This window comes from Homo sapiens, chromosome 7, assembly GCF_000001405.40.
Source record: "Homo sapiens chromosome 7, GRCh38.p14 Primary Assembly".
Lineage (NCBI taxonomy): Eukaryota > Metazoa > Chordata > Mammalia > Primates > Hominidae > Homo > Homo sapiens.
Genome location: NC_000007.14, coordinates 68,149,086 through 68,176,294, shown reverse-complemented (window position 1 = coordinate 68,176,294; position 27,209 = coordinate 68,149,086). Strand labels below are relative to the sequence as shown.

Here is a 27,209-nt window from a genome sequence, read left to right as displayed (position 1 = left end):
ACTGCACTCCAGCCTGGGTGGCAGAGCCAAACTCCATCCCCCCACAAAAAAAATAAAGATCGCCTAGAGAAAGGTAGATCCAGAAAGGCCAACACACAGTGAACTCAGACTTTCCAGGCACAGAAACCAGGTGTGCACAGACTTGAAGGTGCAAGTGTATTTGGAAATGGTGAATGTTGGATGCAGGTGGCAGAGCCTGGAATAGATGTACCGCATGACTGAAGCAGAGGCAGAATTGCACCATGAAGTATTTGATCGGTGCAAAGGTAATTTCGATTTTTGCCACTAATTTTTCAGGGGGTTCGGGGTGGGGGAAACAGTCTCCCTCTGTCACCCAGGCTGGAGTGTGTTGGTGCGATCTCAACTCACTGCAACCTCCGCCTCCCAGGTTCAAACAATTCTCCTGCCTCAGCCTCCCAAGTAGCTGGGATTACAGGCACGTGCCACCATGCCCGGCTAATTTTTGTAGTTTTAGTAGAAACGGGGTTTCACCATGCTGGCCAGGCTGGTCTCAAACTCCTGACCTCAGGTGATCCGCCCACTTCGGCCTCCCGAAGTGCTGGTATTACAGGCATGAGCCACCACACCCGGCCTTACCATTACTTTAAAGGTGAAACTACAATCATTTTTGCACCAACCTATAGCCAGGCCATGAGAGTGCCGTAAACCTGACTATGGGATCACAAATGTCCAAAGATCAACAGGCTTTAAGCAGGACAGTGACCTATCATCTTAGGAAGACCCCACCTGTGGGTTATCAAGAGGTGAGCCTGAGGATTCCTGAGATTGGAGCTGGAAAGGCCAGCTGAGAGGCATCACTACAGCAGAAAGAGCTAATGAAATTGTCAAGTCCATCATGGGATGAACAGAAGAAAGGCAGTATATACATGCATCAAAAAAAATTTTTTTTGAGATGACGTCTCACTCTGTCTCCCAGGCTGGAGTGCAGTGGCGCGATATCGACTCACTGCAACCTCCGCCTTCCATGTTCAAGAGATTCTCCTGCCTCAGCCTCCCAAGTAGCTGGGATTACAGGCCTGCACCACCACACCCAGCTAATTTTTGTATTTTTAGAAATTTTTGCATTTTTTAGTGTGGGCCAGGATGGTCTCGAACTCCTTACCTCATGATCCACCTGCCTTAGCCTCCCAAAGTGCTGGGATTACAAGCGTGAGCCACGGTGCCTGGCCCATGCATCAAAATATTATTCGTCATTAAGAGGGAAGGGAATCTTCTGGGCATGGTGCCTCATGCCTGTAATCCCAGTACTTTGGGAGGTCAAGACAGGAGAATTGCTTGAGTCCAGGAGTTCTAGACCAGTCTCTACAAATATGTGTATTTTTAAATTAATTAGGTGTGGTGATGCACGCCTGTAGTCCCAACTACTCAAAAGGCTGAGATGGGAGGATTGCTTGAGCTTGGGAGGATGAGGCAGCAGTGAGCCATGTGCCTCTGCACTCCAGTCTGGGTGCAGAGCAAGACTCTGTCTCACGGAAAAAAAAATGAGTAGCTGGTCATGGTGGCATGCACCTGTGGTCCCAGCTGCTTGGGAGGCTGAGGCTGCAGGATTGCTTAAGCCCAGGAGTTCCAGGCTGCAGTGAGGTATGATCCTGACACTGTACCCCAGCCTGGGCAAAACTGTGAGACCCCGACGTTAAAAAAAAAAAAAAGTCAGGGAAGGGAATTTTGTCACATGCCACAACATAGGTGAACCTCTTGGACATTATACTACATGAAATAAGCTCATCACAAAAAGACAAAGACTGTATGATTCCACCTAGACGAGGTACTTAGAGTACTCAAATGTATAGAGCCAGAAAGTAGAATGATACTTGCCAAGGGCTGGGGCAAGGAGAAAAAAAGAGTTTGCTGCTTAACGGGTAGAATTTTAGAGCTGCAAGATGAAAAATTCCTGGAGATCTGTTTCACAACAATGTGAATATACTTAACACTAGAAATGGTTAAGATGGTATATTTTATGTTATGTGGGGTTTTTTTTTTGCAATTAAAAATAAAGTAAAAGAGTTCACTTTGGGAGACTGAGGCAGGCAAATCACCTGAAGTCAGAAGTTTGAGACCAGCCTGGCCAACATGGTGAAACCCTGTCTCTACTAAAAATACAAAAATTAGCCAGGCACGCTGGCGCATGCCTGTAGTCCCAGCTACTCAGGAGGCTGAAACAGGAGAATCATTTGAAGCCGGGAGGCGGAGGTTACAGTAAGCTGAGATCACACCAATGCACTCCAGCCTGGGTGACAGAGTGAGACTGTCTCAAAATTAAAAAAAAAAAAAAAAAAAAAAAAAAAAAGAGTTAATGGGCTTGGAAACTAAGGCAGCAGCAGTGGGGAAGGTGATGGGGGGCAGACTGGGGGAGGCTGAAGAGGCAGAAAGCAAGGATCTTTTGTGGCACACAGGCATGCACACTCATTCAGACTTTGCACTTGGCCTCTTGCTGGCCTCACTTGCTCCCCATCGCTTCTGTTTCTGCCATGTTGCTGCTACACAGCATCACGAGGCTCCAATCACCCATCCCCGTGAATAGTGTCATAAACGCTCAGTCCTGGGCTGTCAGCTGGGGGGGCTGGAGTCCTCTCACCCAAGTCCACTCGGTGTGGCGTCTGTTGCCATATGTCCGGCCACCCTGTTCATTAATCACACCTCCTGAAAAGTCTCTTAATTACATTATGTTCACAATCCATAAAAAGTAATTAAAATATGTAAATCCATTATATTCTTTAATGAGCACATGGAGACCTCAAAATTTTAAATTAGATATAAAATTGATGTGGACCTACTACTATTGATTACTCACAGTAATAAATCACCTTCAATTTAAATCGAGATGGCATCCCTCCTCCCCACTGGCTAAGGATGTTTTATGCATGCTTTTTTTGTTCTGTTTGCTAGTTTGTTTGTTTGCATTTCCTACAACGGTTTGAAATTACATCCAATCTTTGAAGGATAGCATTCTCTAGCTTTCTGTCACTTGACAACATGGGCAGCAGCAGCAATAACTGATGTTTGCCTGGTGCTCTAAAGCCAGCACAGGTTTTTCAGGAAACATTTTCTCATTTACGCTCCAGCAGTATTTTTGTTTTCATTTCAATATAAATATACCGATTTTTCATTCTCATGGAAAATATCAGAAGCATCACTGCAACCTGTCTCTTTCCATCCCTGGCTTCTCATTCCTTAGTCACATTTCACCCTTCCACTCACACAAGTCAATTATGATAGCCACACACACACCATGTTGTTACCTGCCCCCGCGTCTCTGCGTGGGGTTGTCCCTCTCTCTGCGCTGGATGTTTTTCTCTCACCTGTCTGCAGAATTTCCAGGAATTTATTTTGACCAGCTCAAGGATCTCCTTATTTAACCCACCAATGTTAACCTGGCAATGTTAGATGCTTCGTACTAAGGCCTGCAGTACCACTCTGCTTTTTTTTTTTTAGATGGAGTCTCGCTCTGTCGCCCAGGCTGGAGTGCAGTGGTGCGATAGCGGCTCACTGCAACCTCGCCTCCCGGGTTCAAGCAATTCTCCTGCCTAAGCCTCCCGAGCAGCTGGGATTACAGGTGCCCGTCACCATGCCTGGCTAATTTTTGTATTTTTAGTAGAGACGGGGTTTTACCATATTGGTCAGGCTTGTCTCAAACTCTTGATCTCAGGTGATCCACCTGCCTCAGCCTCCCAAAGTGCTGGGAGTACAGTTGTGAGCTAAAGTGCCCGGACTACTCGGCTTTCTAAGAACGGCTTCTGTGGGTACAATTTTTATGTGAGCTATAATTTTTTTCACTGGACTCTTAAAATGGCCTTGTAAGACAGTCATTAAAGGTATCACCCTCATTTTATAGGCCATATGCTCGTAAAGCTCATAAAGGTTAATTGATTTGTCTAAGGTCCTGCAGCCTGTAGGTGGGGGCTGTGCTAGGATCCAGGCGCACAGAGGCTTGAACCTTCATCTCTCTGTTCTAGAGGCTTCCTTACTCTTGTGTGTCTCTCCCAAAGGGCCTCTCTCACTGCCCCGACACATCTGCTATCAATATGCAACAGAAGCTTTCATCAACAGCTTTCTTCCTCTTCTGTTTCACCTCCTTCACACTGTGGCATAAGGGTTTTCTTCTATTTCCATAAGTTTAACGTCGGTTCCATAGTTGAAGCTACAAGTTACACACACTGACTTTAGAGCCACACACAGCCTGAACTTGAATCCCAGTTTGCCCAATTACTAAATGTGTGGCTTTGGCCAATTTTCTGAATCTCTGTCTTGATACCTTCATCTCTGATGTAGAAGAAACGAAAGTGACTTCACCCCAAAGATTGTGAAGATTCTGTAAAATAACACGTGTCAAGTGCCTGGCACTCAGCCCGTGATCACTAATTGTTCACTTTATCATTACCATGATCATCTTTTTCTTTTTCTTTTCTATTTATTTATTTATTTTTGAGATGGAGTCTAGCTGCGTTGCCCAGGCTGAAGTGCAGTGCCACAACCTCGGCTCACTGCAACCTCTGCCTCCCAGGTTCAAGCGATTCTCCTGCCTCAGCCTCCCAAGTAGCTGGAATTACAGGTATGTGCTACCACGCCCAGCTAATTTTTGTATTTTTATTAGAAACAGGCTTTCACCATGTTGGGCAGGCTGCTCTCGAACTCCTGGCCTCAAGTGATCCACTTGAGGATTTTATGTGGATATACTGCGTAGTGGTGAAGTCTGAGCTTTTATTGTAACCATCATCACCAGTACAATGTACCTTGTACCCATTAGATAATATCTCATCCCTCACCTACCTCCCTCCCACTAGACCAACATCTTGATTACTGATGCATCTCCAGTGCCTGCTACAGGGCCTGGCACACAGCAGGCGCTCGGTTGAGTGCTTGTTGAATTACAGTACAATTGCCATTTCTACTACATCTAATTTCTCAAAATAAAATTATGTCTTTGGAACAAATTCCAACTCAAGTCACTAAAATGCCACCTTCCTCTTAGAAAGGTGGTTCTAAATCGTCAGGTTTATCAGAATTGCCTGAAGGGTTTGTTCAAACACAGATGGCTGGGCACACCCCTCAGAATTGCTGATTCAGTAGGTCTGCACTGGGGCCCAGGAATTTGCTTTTTTGTTGTTGTTTTATTTTTTTGTTTTTCAGAAAGAGTCTCTCTCTCTCCCTCTCTCTCTCCCTCTCTCTCCCTCCCTCTCTCTCTCTCTCTCTCTCTCTCTCTCTCTCTCTCTCTCTCGTGCGCCCAAGCTGGAGTGCTGTGGTGCAATCATAGCTCACTGCAGCCCACAGCTCCTGGGCTCAAGTGATCCTCCAGCCACCTCACCCTCCCCAGTACTGGGACCACAGGCATGCATCACCACACCCGGCTAATGTTTAAAATTTGTCTCTAGAGATGGGATCTTGCTCTGTTGCCCAGGCTAATCTCGAGCTCCTGGCCTCAAGTGATCCTCCAGCCTCAGCCTCCCAAAGAGTTGAGATTAGAGGTGTGAGCCACCGCACCCAGAGGAATTTGCATTTCTTCCAAATTCCCAGGTGGTCTCGATGCAACTGGACTCAGGACCACATTTAGAGAAACTCTGCTCTCAAGGGTGGCAGAAAAGTAGATGCAAGTAGCTTCAATTCCTGAATTATCACACAGGAAAGGTCAACCAGCAAATACCAACCTGGGGCTCTGAGTGAGAGACCAGCCAGAGTGTGTTTAACCTCTGAGATTTGGGAATTAACCATCATAGAGGCTTGAATTACCCAACTAAGGCAGAAGAAACGATAGTTGTCTCAGTGCAGAAGAGGAAGACATAGAGGAAGACCTCACTGAGGTCTCTGATTATTATTCCTTGGCTTAAAATACAAGGCTCTTTAGGGCCAGGCACGGTGGCTCACGCCTGTAATCCCAGTTACTCGGGAGGATGAGGCAGGAGAATTGCTTGAACTTGGGAGGTGGAGGTTGCCGCGAGCCAAGATTGCGCCATTGCACCCATTGCACTCCAGCCTGGGCAACAAGAGCGAAACTCTGTCTCAAAAAACAAAACCAAACAAAAAACAAAAAACAAGACTCTTTATACCCCAACTTTCTCCCCCAAGTCTCCCACCAGCCCGCACACTCTCTAAATTCTAGTTGCACAAGGCTGCAGCGGGAACACTGAGGAAAGGGAGCAGAATTGAAGTCACCTCAGTCGGCCAAAAGACAGCCTTCTGAAAGCTAGGTATAAAATCAGAATATTGCAAACCCAATAATTTATGTATTCTTTAATTTGTGAGATAATTATAGATTTGTATGCAGTTATAGAGAATAAATCAGAGATTCCATGTAACTTTTACCCAGTTATTCTGATAGAAATTTCTTGCAAAAGTACCGTACAATAACAAAATCAGAATATTGATATTGATACAACCAAGATACAAAACATTTCCTTCACCACAAGGATCCTTCCTGTTGCTTTTTATAGCCACGCCCACTTCCCTCCAACCTTCTTTTCTATTGACTTGTTTTAGCAAACAGCCAAACTGTTTTTCCATCTTACATTCTCACCAGCAGTGTATAAATGATCTGGTTTCCTCACATTATCAATAGCATTTGTTATTACTATTTTTAAAAAAATTTCAGCCATCCCGATAGGTGTGGGATGACATTTCATTGCCGTTCTAATTTACATCTCCCTAATGGCTAACGATATTGAATATCTTTTCCCGTGCTTATTTGCCTTCTGTATATCTTCTTCAGTTAAATGTCTCATTCATTTTTTTCTCTCTATCTTTTTATTTATTTATTTATTTTTTATAAAGACAGAGTCTTGCTCTGTTGCCCAGGCTGGAACACAGTGGCATGATCACGGCTCACTGCAGCCTCTAACTCCTGGGTTCAAGCAATCCTCTCACCTCAGTCTCCTGAGTAGCTGGGACTACAGACATGAGCCACCATGTCTGGTTCCTTTAACATTTTTTTGTATGGCGTGTGCCTGTAATCCCAGCTACTCAGGAGGCTGAGACAGGGGAATTGTTTGAACCCAGGAGGCGGAGGTTGCAGTGAGCCAAGATCAGGCCACTGCACTCCAGCCTGGGCGACAGAGCAAGACTCCGTCTCAAAAAAAAAATTTTTTTTTTTTCTAGAGATGGGGTCTCATTACATTGCCCAGGCTGGTCTCAAACTCCTGGGCTCAAACGATCCTCCCACCTCAGCCTCCCAAAATGCCAGATTACAGTCGTGAGCCACTCATTCATTCTTTAAGCGATATCTGCTGTGTGCTGACGGTGGAGAGGCACTGTTCTAGGAAGTATAGCTACAGTGAGAGGCAAGTTACCTGAAGGATCAGAGCAAAAAGGCATATGGTCGTTGCTGGGGTACTGACTGCCTCCCAGACAGGAGCAAGATTAACCATGATCTAAGCGAATGAGTTAACAATCTCAAAAATTATTCTCTTTTTAACTAGAACAGGCAGTTGTTGGTCAGTATGGCCAAGATTCAGAGAGGCATCTTTTGTCTTGGTGATATCCCTCAGCAGAAAAGAGAGAGCGCACTACAGCCCTTTCACTCTTCTTATTAGACAAAAATGTATCTCAAGCTGTCTGATCTGAGAAGCCATCTTCCATGCACCTATGTAGAGGGGGGAAAGGTGTTGATATGCTACTGTAAGTACCCTTTATTTATAGGGATCTCAATGGGAGGTAACACAGGCTTTCTGGTTATACATCAGTCTATTGAGAGTTGGGTTAGTGTTAGTCTTTCTGAAGATCAGTTCCCCTGAGAGTGCAATGACAATATCAAGTTTCTAGGCTTGCCAAACAGAGGGACATTTCACTGACCATGACCCCATGCAAAGCCTCATGACAGGAAATATGTCAAACTTTCTTGGTGACTTTCCACATTTACGACAGGACTTTCTTCAAGTATTATCCCAAATTGTTGGCAGTTTCATTCTTCTCAGGCTTTGTGTATGTTCATCTGTGTGCCTGGAATTTTCTCTCTGATTTGTTTACCTGGAGAACTCCTACATTTCCCCCAAAACCCAAATATCCCCTCTATTGTGATGACTCTTTTTAAAGTGTTTTTATTTTTAATTTTTTTGGAATTACCATTGTACTTTGTGCCTTTGTTTTTAATCACCTATTAAATACCTGTTGAATATAGGCTCTGAGTTTGCTATTTTGTGTATTCGATTCTCACAAAAATGCCTTTTAGAGATTTTTTTTATTTTTTTGAGACAGGGTCTTACTCTGTCACCCAGGCTGGAGTGCAGTGGCATGATCATAGCTCAATGCAGCCTCAAACTCCTGGGCTCAAGCAATCCTCCTGCCTTGACCTCCTGTGTAGCTGGGACTACAGGCATGTACCACCATGCCTGCTTAATTTTTTAAAAATCTTTTTGTAGAGATGGGGTTCTCCCTATGTCACCCAGGCTGGTCTTGAACTCCCAATCTCAAGAGATCCTCCTGCCTCAGCCTCCAAATTGAGGAAAAAGAAACTACCAAAACTAGGAGGGCATCCAAAGTGCTGAGATTACAGGTGTGAGCCACCACGCCTGGCCAGAGAGAGATGTTTTTATGCATATATTATAAATGATAGATTTAAGCCTCAGAAAGTTTAAGTCCAAAGTCATACAGCCAGTGAGTTTCCTAGGCTCAAAGTCTAATTGAGATGTGTCAGCTGCAAAGGGCAGGCCCTTTTAAGAACCTCATCCTGATCATAGCACTTGGTTATTTATTTGCTTGTCTACACCTCCATTAGCCCGTGATGTTTATAGGAGCCAAGACTGTACCAAACTCACACACAGTCACCACCTTGCCCTTAGCATGCCATGCCCATGTGTTGAGTGAATAAGTGGATGAGTGAATGAATCAATGAACAAATGATTTTTCACATGGCACAGATGCAATCACGTGTAACAGATTTTGAACAAATATTTTATTTCGCTGTCTTTAGCTTTCTGCCTTGATTAACTGCTGCTATCTTCTCTTGCTCTTCATCATATATATATATAAATTTTTTTTTTTTGAGACGGAGTCTCTCTCTGTTTTACAGTGACATGATCTTGGCTGACTGCAACCTCCGACTCCCAGTTTCAAGCAATTCTCCTGCCTCAGCCTCCCGAGTAGCTGGGATTACAGGCACTCACCGCCATGCCAGCTAATTTTTGTATTTTTAGTAGAGACGGGGTTTCACCATATTGGCCAGGATGGTCTCGATCTCCTGACCTCGTGGTCCACCCACCTCGGCCTCCCAAAGTGCTGGGATTACAGGCATGAGCCACTGTGCCCAGCCCTCCATCCTATATTTTAAAAAATTCCACCGAGATATTCATGGGATGATGTTTCTCCCAGTACCTTCTGGGGAATTGTCCAACCACACGGTACTAATTTCATACAACTTAAACGGCCCAGACATTTAGCTTACCTCTCTCATTTATATTACAGTACAAATCTGGGATGTGCTTGTTTAAGTGACAGAAGGAGACAGCCTTTAATCTACACATGATTTCTTCTCAACTGCTCTCTCTGTGTAATGGCAGATGGTTCGCAGGCCCATCCTGTGAATGTTATGGTACTTAATGCATAAGCAGAGTCTGGGAGGGGAGGAGAGAGAGATGGAGATGAGATAAAAGACAATTACCATTTGTTCATATTTCAAATCCCACTTAGAGGAGGAATTGCAGCTCAAAAATGGAAGGCGGAGATGGGGTGGGGAGGAAGCCAGTTACATACAAGGTAAAATCCGGGGGATTAGGTGGATATAGTTAACTGACAGCAGAGATGTTTATTTCATACAAGCACAGCCTTGCTTTCTTCTAAACTGCTTGCTTAAATATCAGGGCTTCGGGAAGGCAACCTCCATATTTTACATGAAAAAAATTTGGGGTTAAAATAATTAACATTTTCCAACAAATATAACAAATGATTCGTGTATTTAATATTTAATTATCTTCTACAGAGCAAATGAATAATTTAAATAAACACTTAGAGATCCACTCATAAAACAAAAAACACAAAGAATTTCTAACAAACTTTTAGAACAATATATAGCCACAGCAGAAATGGAAAAATACAATAAAGTAGGAGGTCCTTTTCTGTCTGTGAAATTAGCAAAGATAGAAAAATGATGATCCAAATTGTGAGGAATATATAATGCAATGTGCAGCCTCATATACTTTTGGTTAGAATATGAATTAGTTCCCTCTTTTCAGAATTATCTGTAAAGAATAGTAAAAGTACACAGAAACATTATCTCTGAATTCTGGTTCTGAAAACTTATCTTAAAGCAATAATTCAAGATTGGTGAGGAAAGAACAGTTTTATGCAAAAAGACATTGGTTACACTCTTGTTATTACTGGGGTAAAGTGGGTGAAAAATTAAAAATGACTCAATCTAGAAATCTGGTTTGGTCACAGTAGAGTCCTACAACAAAATATGTTATTTCTTTCACCCAGTGCTTTTGTTTATATCTGTAGATAAGCTAAATAGTCAGTTGTATTTTTTTCTAGATTTTTATTTTTATTATTATTATTTTTTAAGATAAAGTCTTGCTCAGTCACCCAGGCTGGAGTGCAGTGGTGCAATCTTGGCTCACTGCAGCCTCCCCCTCCCAAGTTCAAGCAATTCTCCTGCCTCAGCCTCTCAGGTAGCTGGAATTACAGGCATATGCCACGACGCTTGGCTAATTTTTTGTATTTTTAGTAGAGATGGAATTTCACCATGTTGGCCAGGCTGGTCTCAAACTCCTGGCCTCAAGTGATCCGCCTGCCTTGGCTTCCCAAAGTGGTGGGATTACAGGCATGAGCCACCATGCCTGGCCTGATGTTCTTCTTTCTTTTTCTCTTTTCTTTTTTTTTTTTTCAGAGTCAGGGTCTCAGTCTGTCACTCAAGTTGGAGTGCAATGGTGTGATCATAGCTCACTGCAGCCTCCAACTCCTGAGCTCAAGCAATTCTCCTGCCTCAGTCCCCCAAGTAGCTGGGACTACAGGTGTATACCACCACGCCTGGCTAATTTTGTAGGGATTTTTTTGTGTGTGTGTAGGGATAGGGTCTTGCTATGTTGCCCTGGTTGATCTCAAACTCCTGGCCTCAAGCAATTCTCCTGCCTCAGTCTCTGAAAGTGCTGGGTTTACAGGCATGAGCCACTGTGCCTGGCCCTCATTTCTTCCTTCTAACCCTTTGTTCTATATAGATGTTATTTTAACATGCCATATGAAGACTCAGAGGACATGGGTCCAAATCCTGTCTTTGCCATCAGCTATGTTACTTTTGATTCACGGAAGCAAAAATGATCTCACCTACCATACAGATTGCTTGTGAATCTCCTGTGAGTTGCTGCATACAGAATTAGTGAGATTTGTTTTAATTGGCTGCCTAGCACAGGGACAAGGGGCTGCTGCACATCACCCCATCTATCAGGAGACAGATAGAGAGTAAGAACTGGGGCAGGGTGCGGTGGCTCACACCTGTAATCCCACACTTAGGGAGGCCGAGGAAGGCAGATCTCTTGAGACCAGGAGTTCGAGACCAGCCCGGCCAACATGGCGAAACTCCATCTCTACTAAAAATACAAAAATTAGCCGGGTGTGGTGGCGTGTGCCTGTAGTCCCAGCTACTTGAGAGGCTGAGGCATGAGAATCCCTTGAACCTGGGAGGCAGAGGTTGCAGTGAGCTGAGATCGTGCCACTGTACTTCAGTCTGGGCAAGAGTGAGACCCTGTCCCCGCTAAAGAAAGAGAGAGAGAGAATAAGAACTGGAATAGTTGGAGAAATCTATGTGGAAAAGGCAATCCTGAATCATGTATTAAAAACAAGGCGAGGCCAGGTGCAGTGGCTCACGCCTGTAATCCCAGCACTTTGGGAGGCCAAGGCAGGCAGATCACAAGGTCGGGAGTTTGAGACCTGCCTGGTCAACATGGTGAAACCCCATCTCTACTAAAAATACAAAAATTAGCCAGACGTGGTGGCGTACGCCTATAATCCCAGCTACTTGGGAGGCTGAGGCAGGAGAATCGCTTGAACCCAGGAGGTGGAGGTCACAGTGAGCTGAGACAGTGCCACTACTTTAGCCTGGGTGACAGAGCGAGACCCTGTCCCCCCAAATAGAGAGAGAGAGAGAGAGAGAGAGCATAAGTACTGAAATAGTTGGAGAAATTTATGTGGAAAAGGCAATCCTGAATCACATATTAAAAATAAAGGCCCGGCTGGGGGTGATGGCTCACTCCTGTAATCCCAGCACTTTGGGAGACCAAGGTGGGTGGATCACGAGGTCAGGAGATCGAGACCATCCTGGCTAACACGGTGAAACTCCGTCTCTACTAAAAATACATAAAATTAGCTGGGTGTGATGGTGGGCGCCTGTAGTCCCAGCTACTCGGGAGGCTGAGGCAGGAGAACGGCGTGAACCCGGGAGGTGGAGCTTGCAGTGAGCCGAGATCGCGCCACTGCACTCCAGCCTGGGCAACAGAGCGAGACTCCGTCTCAAAAAATAAAAAAATTCAAATAAATAAATAAATAAATAAATAAATAAATAAAGGCTAGGCACAGTGGCTCACGCCTGTAATCCCAACACTGTGGGAGGCCAAGGTGGGCAGATCATGAGGTCAAGAGATTGAGACCATCCTGGCCAACATGGTGAAACCCCATCTCTACTAAAAAATACAAAAATTAGCTGGGTGTGGTGGCATGCACCTGTAGTCCCAGCTACTCGGGAGGCTGAGGCAGGAGAATCGCTTGAACCCAGGAGGCAGAGGTTGCAGTGAGCAGAGATCACGCCACTGCACTCCAGCCTGGGTGAGAGAGTGAGACTCCATCTCAAAAAAAAAATAAAATGAAATTAAATAAATACATAAATGAAGTGAAAGATTTCCATTTCTAGCCATGAAGGAAAAACAAGGATCAGAGTTCCACTCCAGCCTTAAATGACTAGAACATCAGATAAATGGAAGAAACAAGAGTTTTCGGAGATTGAACAATAGACAACACAGGACATTGATCGTTGCAAGAAGACCAGCCAATGAGGTGACCTGTAGGAGTGCCCCAACTCACTCCCTGCAGAGAGGTACCATGGCTAATCCCAATGGCCAGGGAGCACAGCAAAGCCTTGCAGAATCAAGGGGACAGAGTGTGGTTCTAGGGCAGGAGGCCAGGAGGCTGGAGTTTGCATGGATGTTTCCTGGAGATAAGGAAGCCGAGCCAGAGAGAGATCCAGAGATTCACAGACCAGCCTTGGCAACATGGCGTAACCCCGTCTCTACTAAAAATACAAAAAGTAGCCGGGCATGGTTGTGCACGCCTGCAATTCCTGCTACTGGGGAGGCTGAGGCAGGAGAATGGCTTGAACCCTGGTGGGGGTGGAGGTTGCAGTGAGCTGAGATCACACCACTGCACTCCAGCCTAGGCGACAGAAGGAGTGAGCCTCTGTCTGAATCTTTGAATACTGCTCTGTGCATGTGTATGAAGAAACTACCCAAACTGGGAGGCGGGGGGTGGAGGCGGGAATCCCTATCCTTCCCAAGCTGGGTCGCTATTCTAATGGTAGGGGTGGAGGATAATTCTAGGTAACATTGAAGTGGTGATCAAAGTCCTCCCTGAAGTGTCCCCCTTTAGTGATATCCAATTGCCCCCCTACTCACTGGCAAATTTTTATTTACTTGAAACACCAACCCCAGATCTTTTTATTTTTTCTTTTCTGACAGGGTCTCCCTCTGAAGGGAGGGAGTACTCCACCCAGGCTTGATCAGTGTACAGTGGCATGATCAGAGCTCACTGCAGCCTCGACCTCCTGGACTCAAGCGATCCTCCTGCCTCAGCCTCCTGAGTAACTGGGACCACAGGCATGTCTTGCCATGTCCAGCTCATTTTTAAAAATTATTTTTTGTAGAGATGGAGTCTCCCTATATCGAGAAAGCAAGTCAGGGTCTTGCTCTCTCACCCAAGCTGGAGCGCAATTGTGCAATCATAGCTCACTGCAGCCTCCAGCTCCTGATCTCAATCAATTCTCCTGCCTCAGCCTTGCAAGTAGCTAGGATGACAGGTGTGCACCACTATACCTGGCTAATTTTGTTTTTTGTGTTTGTGTGTGTAGAGATGGGCTCTTGCTGCGTTGCCCAGGTTGATCTCAAACTCCTGGCCTCAAGCAATCCTCTCACCTAGGCCTCCCAAAGTGCTGGGATTACAGGTGTGAGCCACTGCACCCAGTCTGAGCCCAAATCTTCCTGTATCTATACTGCTTTTCCTACAAATGCAAGAACCTAAAAATACATTCAGCCCAAGGCTACATCCTGGCCACAGATACATAAAAACCACCTCAAACACAACTATGGCCTTCTCCATTCACTACTGGGGACTGAAATATTTGTCGTTGTACACATAATATTTTATTTGTTCCTAATAATGCTGTGAATGAAGGATGGTAAATGTGCTTTGCCTGCTTTAAGAAACCCAACATCCAGAGAGGTTCATTAACTTTTCCAAAACCACACAACAAGATAATGGGAGAAGTGGAACCAGAGTTAAGGTTATCTAATACTTAAGTTGATTTCTTCTCATGAAATCAAAAATAAACTTGTAGGCCAGGCACAGTGGCTCAAGCCTCGAATCCCAGCACTTTGGGAGGCCGAGGCAGGTGGATCACCTGAAGTCAGGAGTTCGAGACTAGCCTGGCCAACATGGTGAAACCCTATCTCTACTAAAAATACAAAAATTAGCCAGGTGTAGTTGCACGCTCCCAGCTACTCAGGAGGCTGAGGCATGAAAATTACTTAAACCCAGGAGGCGGAGGTTGCAGTGAGCCAAGATTGCACCACTGCCCTCCAGCTTGGGCAACAGAGCAAGACTCCATCACAAAAACAAATAAATAAATAAAATAAACAAGCACATCCATTAAGATCCTTCTTGGTATTCATCACCATTTCCTAGATACCTGGAAAATAAGGAACTCTACCTTTTCTGTGCATGAAACCAAACTCTGCAATAAGAACCTCCCTTCTTGAGTCCAGATTTATTAGAAAATCTGCATTTATAACACTCTGGTTCTCTGGAGAATGTAACTTTCAGTCCAGATAAAAATATGGTTTGACAGCAAAATCATGCTATGAAAGCAAGATCATATTCCAGACTGCATATAACACAACCAAATATGAAAAAAAATGGTTAAGAGCAAAACTATACACTGGATTTGAGGGCTGAATCTGCTACTCACTTGTTCAGAGACTTGAGAGAGTTATTAAATCTCTTAAAGTTTCTGTTTACTCACCTATAAAATGAGGCCAATAACACTCAACTCAGTGGGGTTACTGTGAGGGTTAAATGAAGTAATTCAAGTAAATGTGTTTTGCCTTGAATACGGTAAGAGCCCAAAACACCATTCAATGCACACTTACGCCTGTCTGGTGATTCACTACCTTTGGCCTTCAATATATTCTCAACAACCTCTCTGTAACGTGTTGGAGTTCTGAGCTATCATTTCTCAAATGACACAATCTACTTATGTGACTTAGTTGCGTAGGAGGAATTTGCTCCAACAGTCCTCAACAGTCTTCCTCATCATTTAGTTCATAAAGCTCAAGATATGTGAATTCAGCCAACAAAAATTGCCATGTCTTCTCCCCAAAAGGAATTCATAAAGGAAATTCACCATTTGAAGCTAGAGGTAGAATTCCTTTAGAATTTTCTTTAGAATTTCTAGTACTTAAGTCAATTCTTTTCATGAAATCAAAGATTAACTTGTAGGAAATATCAGAGGTCAATCATTTTTTTGCAACTTAGACATAAAGGAAAGAAATTTTGCTCCCCCTCACCCCAAGCTGACCTTTAAGAATCAAGCTCCAACACCTTTATTCCTGGTAGTTTATTCCTTTCAATGCTTTAGCTCAAGTAGGCATTTAACAGACGTGAAGGGGTGTTTGTGAAGACAAGAGTTTAATTCATCAGATGGTCTATTTCCTGATGACTTGTACCTGGAGGTGATTGGATTATCTGTATCATGCCCTAAAAGTTACCACTTAGGCTGGCATGGTGGCTCATGCCTGTAGTCCTGGTGCATAGGATGAAGTTATAGGAATAGAGAAATTCTTTTTTTTTTTTTTTTTTTACTGTCGCCTGGGCTGGAGTGCAGTGGCATGATCGTGGCTCACTGCAACCTCCGCCTTCTGGGTTCAAGTGATTCCCCTGCCTCAGCCTCCCAAGTAGCTGGGATTACAGGTGCCTGCCACCACACCCAGCTGATTTTTTGTATTTTTAGTAGAGAGGGGGTTTCACTGTGTTGGCCAGACTGGTCTCAAACTCCTGACCTCGCGATCTGCCTGCCTTGGCCTCCTGAAGTGTTGGGATAACAGGCATGAGCCACTGCACCAGGCCAGAGTAGATAAATTCTAAATGAAATTCTAGAGGAATTCTGCCTCTACATTTATATGGTAGCATGTAACTGCCTGTTCTTTCTCTGCCTTATCACATAGATATTTTCCCCTAATGGATTTATATGGTTTGGCTCTGTGTCCTCACCCAAATCTCATCTCAAATTGTAATCCCCATAATCTCAATGTGTCCTGAGAGGTACATTGTGGGAGGTGATGGATCAAGGGAGTGGTTTTCCCCATGCTGTTCTTGTGACAGTGAGGGAGCTCTCACAGAAGCTGATGATTTAATAAAGGGTGCTTCCCCTTCGCACACTCTCTCTCTCCTGCCGCCATGTAAGACATGCCTGCCTCCCCTTTGGTCTTGATTGTAAATTTCCTGAGGCCCCCCCAAGCCATGCAGAACTGTGAATCAACTAAACCTCTTTTCTTTATAAATTACCCAGTCTCAGCAATTCTTTATAGCAGTGTGAGAATGGACTACATGGATCTCCTCATAAAAATACACTGATCTCCTAAAAAAAAAAAAACCTTTTGATTCTCTTGGTCACCAACAATGAAGGAAACCTTAACTGTACACACAGACTTAATATAGCAGTGAAAGTCATCATATTCTAGGTGACCTAGCCCATACCTTCTCTAAAAGACTCCCAGAATAAGCAGGAACCAACAACTAAAATTATAGAAAACTCAAGAGGAAAGACAAAGTGCATTTTCTGTGGGAAATATGTATTATTTTTATAATAAGAAAATTACAATAATCGTCAGCCTGTGTGAGGAATCTCATCTCAGCCGTGACTAAACACAGAGCTAGTTTTAATCTCACAGCTGCACTCTGTTCTGAAACTTGAACCACTAGAATAAACATCACATTTTTTGCTCCTTTCCCACTTAAATCTTAGTCCAGTCCAATGATGTCTGCAATTCAATCTGGTTATAAAAATCTGAGGTTCTCTCAGAAAAACATTCAGTGAAATTCAAGTTCTTTTCATTACCTCAGTCATTTATTTCATTCTGAATTCTCTGTCTGGATCTCCTTCCACTACTATGCCTACCTTATTGTACAAATTCTGAACCACCCACACCACTGCTGCTTAGAGGCTGGTGTAGGAACAAAAGGGAATTTTCCTTCACCCTCAAAAGGTTCACTTAAAAATCAGCTTGTAGAGGCAGATTAATTGGAGAAAAAGCAAACAAATTTATTTCATGTGTTTACACAGGAGCCTTCAGAATGAAGACTCAATCCCCCAGTGGGGTGCAGAAGCTTATAAACCATCTTGAGGTTACAGAAAGAATGGGGCTTGGATCTTGGCAAAACAGGTTATAGGAGGGGAAAAAGAGGAGTTTTTTTGAGGGGAAATAAATGATTACTAGAGAGATTTCAATGGGCTTGAAGAACATACAATGGCCTCTGGCAAAGTCTGCTGGGCTTGCAGAGCAGACAATGGTTTGTGACAAAAATCTGTCCAGGTTTGTTGACCTCAGCCATTCTTCCTGCCATATAAGTTTAGTTAATGAAAATCAGGGCATGGACAATACTGGAGGTAATTGTCTTCTTCTTTGGTAGGGCTGAACTTTAAGCAGATAAAGGAATTTCAGAGAATAACTTTGTCCTGTGCTTTGGGAGAGATGGTGGTGGGGTGTGGAAGGTGGACAGAATGTCAAAGACAACTTAAGCCTCCTTTTTCAGTTCAGCATGTACAAAGTGAGATTTTTCGGGATATCGATTTCTGAGCCCTGAATTGGTATGCTGGCATAAGGAGAGAAACACGAAACAGCTCCTAGACAATCAGAACACTCTGAATGTGTCTCTTTCCAAGTCATCTTCTCATAGCTCCCAGGCAGGCAGACAACCAAATAACTTTGCTCCTGAATCTGAAAGCAGACTGACATCTCACACTATGAATCAGGGACCTGTCAAATGTGGCATTTGGGAATGTAGCAAGACATTCTCAAAATCATGCTATCTCCAATGGTTCTTTCAATATCCCATGATATTGGGACACAAAAAGGGACACAAAAAAGTCTATGATACCTTCATGGGATTCATATTTTCATTTTTCTTTTCTTTTCTTTTCTTTTTTTTTTTTTTTTTGAGATGGAGTCTCACTCTGTCGCCAGGCTGAAGTGCAGTGGTGCGATCTCGGCTACCTGCAACCTCCACCTCCTGGGTTCAGTTGATTCTCCTGCCTCAGTCGCCTGAGTATCTGGGATTATGGGTGCCTGCCACCATGCCTGGCTAATTTTTGTATTTTTAGTAGAGACGGGCTTTCACCATGTTGGCCAGGCTGGTCTCAAACTCCTGACCTTGTGATCCACCCACCTCGGCCTCCCAAAGTGCTGGGATTATAGGTGTAAACTACCGCGCCCAGCCCATATTTTAATATTTTTATGAGCTTTAACCTATTAGTTGCAGGGTAGCTTCTCATTCTCTAAAAGCACTCTATGTCTAACTTTTTATGGTCAAGGGCAGCTGCCTGTTCATTCTCTATTTCCTACATGTATTCTCCTAAGACATCCCCTCAAGGTCTCCAAAGGCTAAGGATACAGTTTTCAAGGGATCTGTCACTGGAGAAGTTCTTTAAAGGACTTTACATATATACATCCATGTACATACAAAGAAGAAATTCTTTAGCCATCCATCTATTCTGGTAGCATACGACCTGCATATTCTAACCACCCACTTAGAGGATATCTCTTTTCCATTGATCTAGTAACATAAAGTCATTTTCTAAATCACTATTACATTTACCACTGCAGTTAACATTGATCTAAACCTCACAAACTTTTATTTATTATCTTATTAATTTCATAGTAAGCTATAATAAACACCATCATGGACAACTATAGACTTGGTGTCTTCAAACAAGCGGGAATCTAAACAAGAGACACCAGAAAAGAATTTCTCCTTCTCAAGTTTGGTTCAGATTGTTTATGTGCTGAGTGCACAGAATATTAAGGCAAGGGCTTGCTTAATAAACTTACTCTTGAAGCAGACTGAGCGCATACATGCAGCACCAGCAAAAGGACACCAGCCAACACCAGACATTAACAACAGTTCATGGCCAGGCACAGTGGATCACGCCTATGATCCCAGCACTTTGGGCAGCTGAGGCAGGCGGATCACTGGAGGTCAGGAGTTCAAGACCAGCCTGGACAACATGGTGAAACCCCGTCTCCACTGAAGATACAAAAAATGGCCAAGCATGGTGGTGGCTGCCTGTAATACTTGCTACTTGGGAGGCTGAGGCAGGAGAATCACTTGAACCTGGGAGGTGTAGGAGGCAGTGAGCCGAGATTATACCACCACACTCCAGTCTGGATGACAGAGTGAGACTCCATCTCCAAAAAAAAAATAAAAGTTCTTTCCTTATTTTATTTTAGAGATGGAGTCTCACTCAGTCACCCAGACTGGAGTGCAGTGGTGCAATCATAGCTTGCTGCAACCTCAAACTCCTGGGCTCAAGTGATCCTCCCAACTCATCCTCCCGAGTATTTGGGACAACAGGTGTGCACCACCATTTCCAGCTCATTTTATTTTTTCTTGTAGATATGGGGTCTTTCTGTGTTTCGTGTTTCCCTGGCTGGTCTCTAACACCTGGGCTCAAGGGATCTTCCCATCTCAGCCTTCTAAAGTGATGAGATTACAGGCGTGAGCCAGCATACCTGGCTAACAGTTTATTTTTGATGAATTTCATACAAAGCATTTACTCAAAATATCTAGAATGATAACGTCTGGCAACATCAGGAGTAAGCATATATATAGAACAAGAAGAATTGCTGTACACTGCTAATGGGAGTGTAAATTGGTATAACCACTTTAGAAAACAAATTGGTAATAGTTAGGAAATGTGAAGATGCACATATCCTATAACCCAGTGATTTTTCTCTTAGGAATTTACCCTACAGAGTTCTTGCACAGGTGCACAGTTTTACACGTACACAAGAAGGAATGCTCATATCAACATTGCTCATAATAGCAAACATTTGGAAATAAACTCCATCCCTCAATAAGAGAATGGATAAATCAGTTGTGGTGTATTCATGTAAGTGAGCACCATACAGAATTAGCCAAGTGACCTCAGAGGTCATCGATGTGAGTCATTCTCAAACCTGCCTCTACATCAGAATGACCTGGGGAGCTTAAATAGAACAGATTCTGAGTCAGTATCTTTGAATGTGGAGCCTGATGCACCTGCTGCTACATGAGTCAATATTTGGAAAACACTGATGTAGCTTATTTATAAATTGTTAAAATTATGGCATGGGGATGGGGGTGGATTAACATGTCTATGGTAACCCAGCTGGTGAAAGGGTGAGTGGGGAACTGAACCAGGTTCGGCTGTCTCCTGGTTCAGAGATCTCTATGGTATATCACGTTACCTTTCTACAGTCTAACAAAAAGAGCAGGTAGTTAAACTAACCAGTTAGTCCATCAAGATTGTTAAACTGCGTATATTGGTTACACTAAGAGCCCAGACTTCACCACTAGGCCATATGTTTATGTGACAAAACTGTACTTGTACTACCTAAATTTATACAAATAAAATAATAATAATAAAAAACTTGATTTCAGAGAGCGTATCTTCCTTCTGGTCTGCCCTATGGGACCTCTTGATCCTGCTAAATACTCTGAATTTGTGGTTCTCTCTTAAATAGAAAACTTGAATGTGAGGGGATCTAGAGAGAGAGAGAGATAGACACAGGCATACACATAGCAACAGAGATAAACATAGATATAATAGATCTAGATATAGGAAATATGGAGAGTAATGTTTTCTTTCTCCCCAGCCAACAGGAAAGAATTCTGCATGGGAGTCAGAACATTTGTATTAAAGACCTGATTTTACTGGGCAACAGAGCGAGACCTTGTCTCTACAAAAAATAAACAAAACTAACCAGGCACAGTGGTGTGCACCTGTAGTCCCAGCTACTTGGGAGGCTGAGGTAGGAGGATCGCCTGAACCCTGGAAGTCAAGTGTTTCTTTCTTTCAGCATGTCATTACCAATTGCACAGGACCAAGGAAAATAAAGCCATGTATGTAGGGAAATATATTATTTTTTTGAACTTTAGTCAAATGGAACGTTTTGTTTTGGGATGGTAAACACATCTTTTGCCTTAGAGTATAGATAAAAGGTCTTTGGGTTATGGTAGATAAGGCCGGGCTAACACGGCTGCTTCAAGTAAAAATAAGGATGTGCTTCAACATGAATGGATTTCCACTTTCCCTATTGAGGGCTTGAGACAGAAAGCCTTTGGGCCCGTTTTGCTCAGAGAAGGAAGGAGATGAGAAAGTCTGAAAGAGAGGACCAGCCTCGCTACTGGGCAGGAGGTCAGAAGCCTTAGGACAGAGAATGTTGTATGAAAAAGATGACACAATGGTAGAAATGGCCATAGAATTTTAAGAACAGTGATGCATTAAATACAATTTTGAGTATTTTTTGCTTGATGCTGTTGACCTCCAACACCACTGTCAAATCCTCAAAAAAAAAAATGTCATTGACAATAGCATTTATCCATTCAATCATGCAACATCACTCTAAACCCTGGGGATACCATGATGTATGGAACAGACAAAATCCCTAGTTTCGTAAGATTTATATTTTAGTACCATCTTTGTAGTTGCTTAAGGAATGGATACGGTCAGTTATATTCACATTTGGGGGTGAAGTGGTCCAGGGACCCCCTCCCCCCACAAGAAAACAAGGACAGGTGGGCCCTGGGCATGCTTTGGGTTTGTGGGATGAGCCTCTGGCTACTGTATTTGGATTCTACAGGAAAGCATGCTGGAGGATTTGGGGGTACTCAGCTTACATCTGCAACAATCTGTATTTCATTACTGCTCAGTATCTTTAATCATCCATATAATAACTCTTTATCTCAATGACCATTTTCTGTTCTTTAAAATTGTCATCTCTGCACCATGCAAAACACTTTCCCATTTTACTATTATTATATTTTTTGAAAAGGCACATTGAACAGCATATAGCCTGAGACCCTGAAGAGCTGAGAGTGTCTATATGGGCCTTGACAAGTGCTGTAGAACTAGATGTTTAAATATTAATAGTACCAGCAAGAAAATCTGAAGCCAATCTGGTTTTAACTCCTCTGAAAGTAAATGGTTGCTTGTTTGAAGCTTACAGGATTGTATTTCTATCCTTTACATTTCAAATTTTTGCAAGAGATTTGTCTGGTTTATTTGAACTTATTTTGTCCACCTGATTTCTCATCTTTGGATTTTTTTTATAAGTTCTGGATTTTTTTTTCTTCCATATCAGTTTTAAAGATAAAATTTTAAACTACTTATTTTATTTCAGGGGGAAAAGGAATCTTTTCTTATTAACAGATTGGATCTTTTTATTCTAACTTCTATATCCACCATCTTACTTTTCAAAGTAAAAATAAAAGGATTGAGTTCTTACAACATGTCCATTTATCTTTCTGCACATTCTTTTCAATTATTTTTAAAGTTGTCTTCTATAGTCTGGAGATATTTCTTAGATATAAATCTGAGCATGTTTTGTAGCTTATTCTGCATACTATTTACTTTCTTTTTATCTGCTTCATTTCTTTATCTTTTAAAACCTAAGCTCTTCTTATTTAAGCGATAGTGGTACTTTTTTTTCCAAACAGAATAGAAAACTTCCACTTTCAAATATTGTTCTGTTTTGTGAAATAAGTTTTTATTTTCTGAGGAAAATGTTATATCTATGGTGTGTGTGTCTGTGTGTGTGTGTGTGTGTGTAGATTTTTTCTAGTTATCCCAGTTTGTTTATGTATCCTCTGCCATTTCCCATTGTTGACTCAAAGGACCCAACTGAAAAATGTTATGAGTATTAAACTTTGTTTAATCTGTTTTCCTATTACAATAAAGCAGGTGGTGGTCATATACCAGGAATAGATATTGCAAGTATTACTGGCACAGAATTATATTGTTTCATTAGCAAACACAAAATTTAACATTATTTCAGTAGCTATGGATGGAAGGGGAAAAACATTCTCCTCTCCATCACCATGTCCTTGGCCTTGTTCATTGATGCCACACTTGAGATAGTTTACTGCAGTGGAAGCCCTTTCATTTTGGCTTATAAACTGCTCTGCCAGACTCTCTTGTGCTTATAGAGTGATTTGCTCTATGCCTATATCTAATTCACAGCCATTTCAATAAATGCCTATATACCCTCAAAAGCTATATATCCTCATACCCTATATACCACGTCTATGTACCTTCAAAACCCCACAGATCCCATATTCAGAACTCTGTTTAACTTCATAAGGGAATGAAGCATTAATTTTAGGAAGGATGATACATTGTCTTCTTCCCTCTATTGTCATCAAATATTCTTGTCTTCTTGTCATCAGCTTTCTTTTTTCTTCCTACTGTATTAGTTACCTGTGGCTGCTATAATAAATTACAAATTGTTGGCTTAAAACAACAGATGTTTATTCTCTCTGGAGGCCGAAAATCCAAACTCAGCATTGCTACACCAAAATCAAGGTGTTGGCAGGGCCACTCTTCCTCCAAAAGCCCTTGAGGGGGATCCATTCCTTGCTACTTCCTGTCCCCTGTGGCTGCTGGTATTCATTGGTTTGTGGTCACACCACTTTCATCTCCAAGGCCAGCATCTTCAAGTCTCTCTCTGCTCTGCCTTTACATTACCTTCTCTCTTTGTGTGTTAATTTCTCTCTGCTCCTCTCTTAGAAGAATGCTTGTGAGCATTTATGGCCCAGAGAATCGTCCAGAATAATCTCCCCATTTCAAGATCCTCAACTTATTCACATCTGCAAAATCCCTTTGTTCAAATCGCATAATATTTAGAGGTTCCAATGATTAAAATCTGGTACCAATATCTGTAGGTGACCACTGTTCAGCTTAAAACACCCTTCAGAAACGATCCTGCCAAGACCCATGACCCAGAGAAATAATTTCTCTGAAGACCTCTTTCTAAAACATCTGCATCTGTTGTTGTGTTAGCTTTGTTTGAAAAGCAATGATCTGTGAGTTGTGTGCAGGAATTCTGTGTTGAGCTGAGGCTGGAGAGCATCCTGGGTGTAGGTGTAGGTCTCTGAGCCCATGAGCACAGCATAGTTACACATAAAGAGAAACACCCATGTATAAAGCCACATGATGGGGCATGCATCTACCCTCTGTGGCTTGTCCTATTTGAGCTCTGGCTGGAGAACAAGTCACAGAGAGGCACCTTATTTCTTATTTTTTGGATTCTGCATCTGTTTGTTTGTTTTTTTTAACTTTGGGGTCAGAGGTCCATATGCAAGCTTGTTATATAACTAAATTGCATATCATGGAGGTTTGGTGTTCAGATTATTTTGTCACCCAGGTAATAAGCATGGTTGCTAATAGGTAGTTTTTCAATTCTCTCCTACCTCTCATTCTCCACCCTCAAGGAGGCCCCAGTGTCTGTTATTCCCTTCTTTGTGTCCACGTGTACCCAGTGTTTAACTCCCACTTTTAAGTGAGAACATGAGGTATTTGGTTTTCTGTTCCTGCGTTAGTTTGCTCGGGATAATGACCTCCAGCTCCATCCATGTTGCTGCAAAGGACACGATCTCATTCTTTTTTATGAGAGCCTGTATCTTGTTATTGGCACCTCCTGGTAGAAATCACCATCTAGTTTTAGAAATACAGTTTATTCAGGAGAACTACTGCAACCAAGATCTGAAGCCTAATGAATAGCTAAGCCACAATTACACCTTTTTTTTTTTTTTCTTTTTTTGAGACAGAATCTTGCTCTGTCACCCAGGCTGGAGTGCAGCAGCGCCATCTCGGCCCACTGCAGCCTCTGCCTCCAGGGTTCAAGTGATTCTCATGCCTCAGCCTCCGGAGTAGCTGGGGTTACAGGCACACACCATCATGCCCGGCTAATTTGTGTATTTTTAGTAGAGACAGGGTTTCACCATGTTGGCCAGGCTGGTCTCAAACTCCTGACTTCAGGTGATCCACGTGCCTCAGCCTCCCAAAGTGCTGTTATTACAGACGTGAGCTACTGTGCCCAGCCCACAATTCCATCTTGATGGTTGGTCTTGTATGAGTGTTTTGTGTGCACTGAGCTAAGAAATGTACATGCCTTTTTTTCTTTCATTTAATTGTCACAGTAATCTTATAATATTGGCCTGAAATTGTGCCACTAAAAAAAAAAAAAATTGAGGCACAAAGAGCTTATTTAACTTTTCCGAAGTCCCAGAGGTAGTAAGTGATGGCATGAAAATTTAAGTCCAGATATAAGGCCAGACACAGTAACTCACGCCTGTAATCCCAGCACTTTGGGAGGCCGAGGCAGGTGGATTGCTTGAGGTCAGGAGTTCGAGACCAACCTGACTAACATGGTGAAACCCTGTCTCTACTAAAAATACAAAAAGTAGCAGGGTGTGGTGGCACGCACCTGTAATCCCAGCTATTTGGGAGGCTGAGGCAGGAGAATCCCTTGAATCTGGGAAGTGGAGATTGCAGTGAGCCAAGATCGCGCCACTGCACTCCAGCCTGGGCAACAAAGCAAGACTCCATCTCAAAAATAAATAAATAAATAAAAGAAATCCAGATTTAAGACGATGCTTTAGAGTTGTCAAGTTTCAGCTCCTCCTTTCACAAAGGGATGGGGTGAGGACATCAATGTTTTCTTTGTGTTTCCAAAGGCTATTGGCAGGAGATCTTCCCAGAAGAAAAAGAATGGAGGAAAGATGTTGGAAAGGAAGACACAATTGGCCAACAAGAGAAAGGAAGAGCTTCTCCAAGACTGGAAAGAGAACAAGGCTAACTTCTGTTCAACTCCCTGGCAAGTTGGTGGATCTCAGAGATGAATGATCTTGAGTCACACCAAGGTCATGACGCCTGGGTGTGGGGAACTTCTCGTCTCAAGAAGGAACTCATTTCAACTATGACACACAATGGTGAAGATGCAATTATGCAAAGGACTTTCTACTTAGAAAAAAAAAGTTCATATCATGGATAACCAGCACAGACATACATTTTGGAAGCCTTTTTTAAATATTCGAGTCTTCATGAAACCCTAAGTTTCTCTCACACAGTCATGAATTTAGGGGTAGGGAGTTCCAATAATGACCAAATTTGAATTTCTCAACATACCAGGAGAGATCTCAGGATAGGATTTACTTTGATTTAAGGGGAATAAGAGATTTTTGACATTTCTGTATTTCTCACATTCAAATTTGACAATGGGAGGATCATGCCCTGCCCCCCACCCTCATTCTCCATCTCTCTGAAGCCCAGGCTTTTAACCATTGGCCAGAGGGCTGAATATAAAGGTCACATGATTTTGGCCAGGCATGGTGGCTCATGCCTGTAATCCCAGCACTTTGGGAGGCCAAGGCGGGCGGATCACCTGAGGTCAGGAGTCCAAAACCAGCCTGGCCAACATGGTGAAACCCAGTTACTACTAAAAATATAAAAATTAGCCAGGAGTGGTGGTGGGTGCCTGTAATCCCAGCTACTAGGGAGGCTGAGGCAGGAGAATTGCTTGAGCCCAGGAGATGGAGGTTGCAGTGAGCCAACACGGTGCCACTGCACTCCAGCCTGGGTGACAGAGTGAGACTCCTCTCAAAAAAAAAAAAAAAGATGGCACAATTTCAGGGACAGCCCAGGTTCTGCAGTTCTTGTGGCCATTGCTAATAAGAGTGGACTCTGACTCATCTAGGAGAATGGGACTGAGTGGAAGACGTTTGTGGGATTGCTCCTCATGCCACCGTCTTCCCTGAGATCTACTAGCTGCGTTTTTTAATTAGTAAACTGAGAAAAAAAAATACATGCCTGGACATTTTATGCATCTATGAAAACAATAGTATTTAGGCTAGGCATGCTGGCTCATGCCTATAATCACAGCACTTTGGGAGGCTGAGGCAGGAGTACCAATTGA

The 27,209-nt window shown here is 43.0% G+C and overlaps 1 long non-coding RNA gene across 1 annotated transcript in view; it reads left to right on the top strand.

Annotated features, from left to right (window-relative positions):
• Positions 1–26,747, top strand: part of LOC105375341 (uncharacterized) — a 170,147-nt gene extending 143,400 nt beyond the window's left edge. The window contains exons 5-6 of the long non-coding RNA NR_187905.1: positions 21,111–21,266; positions 25,972–26,747. This is a non-coding gene — a long non-coding RNA (uncharacterized LOC105375341). The remainder of the gene's footprint in view (positions 1–21,110; positions 21,267–25,971) is intronic.
• Positions 26,748–27,209: the final 462 nt, after the last annotated feature.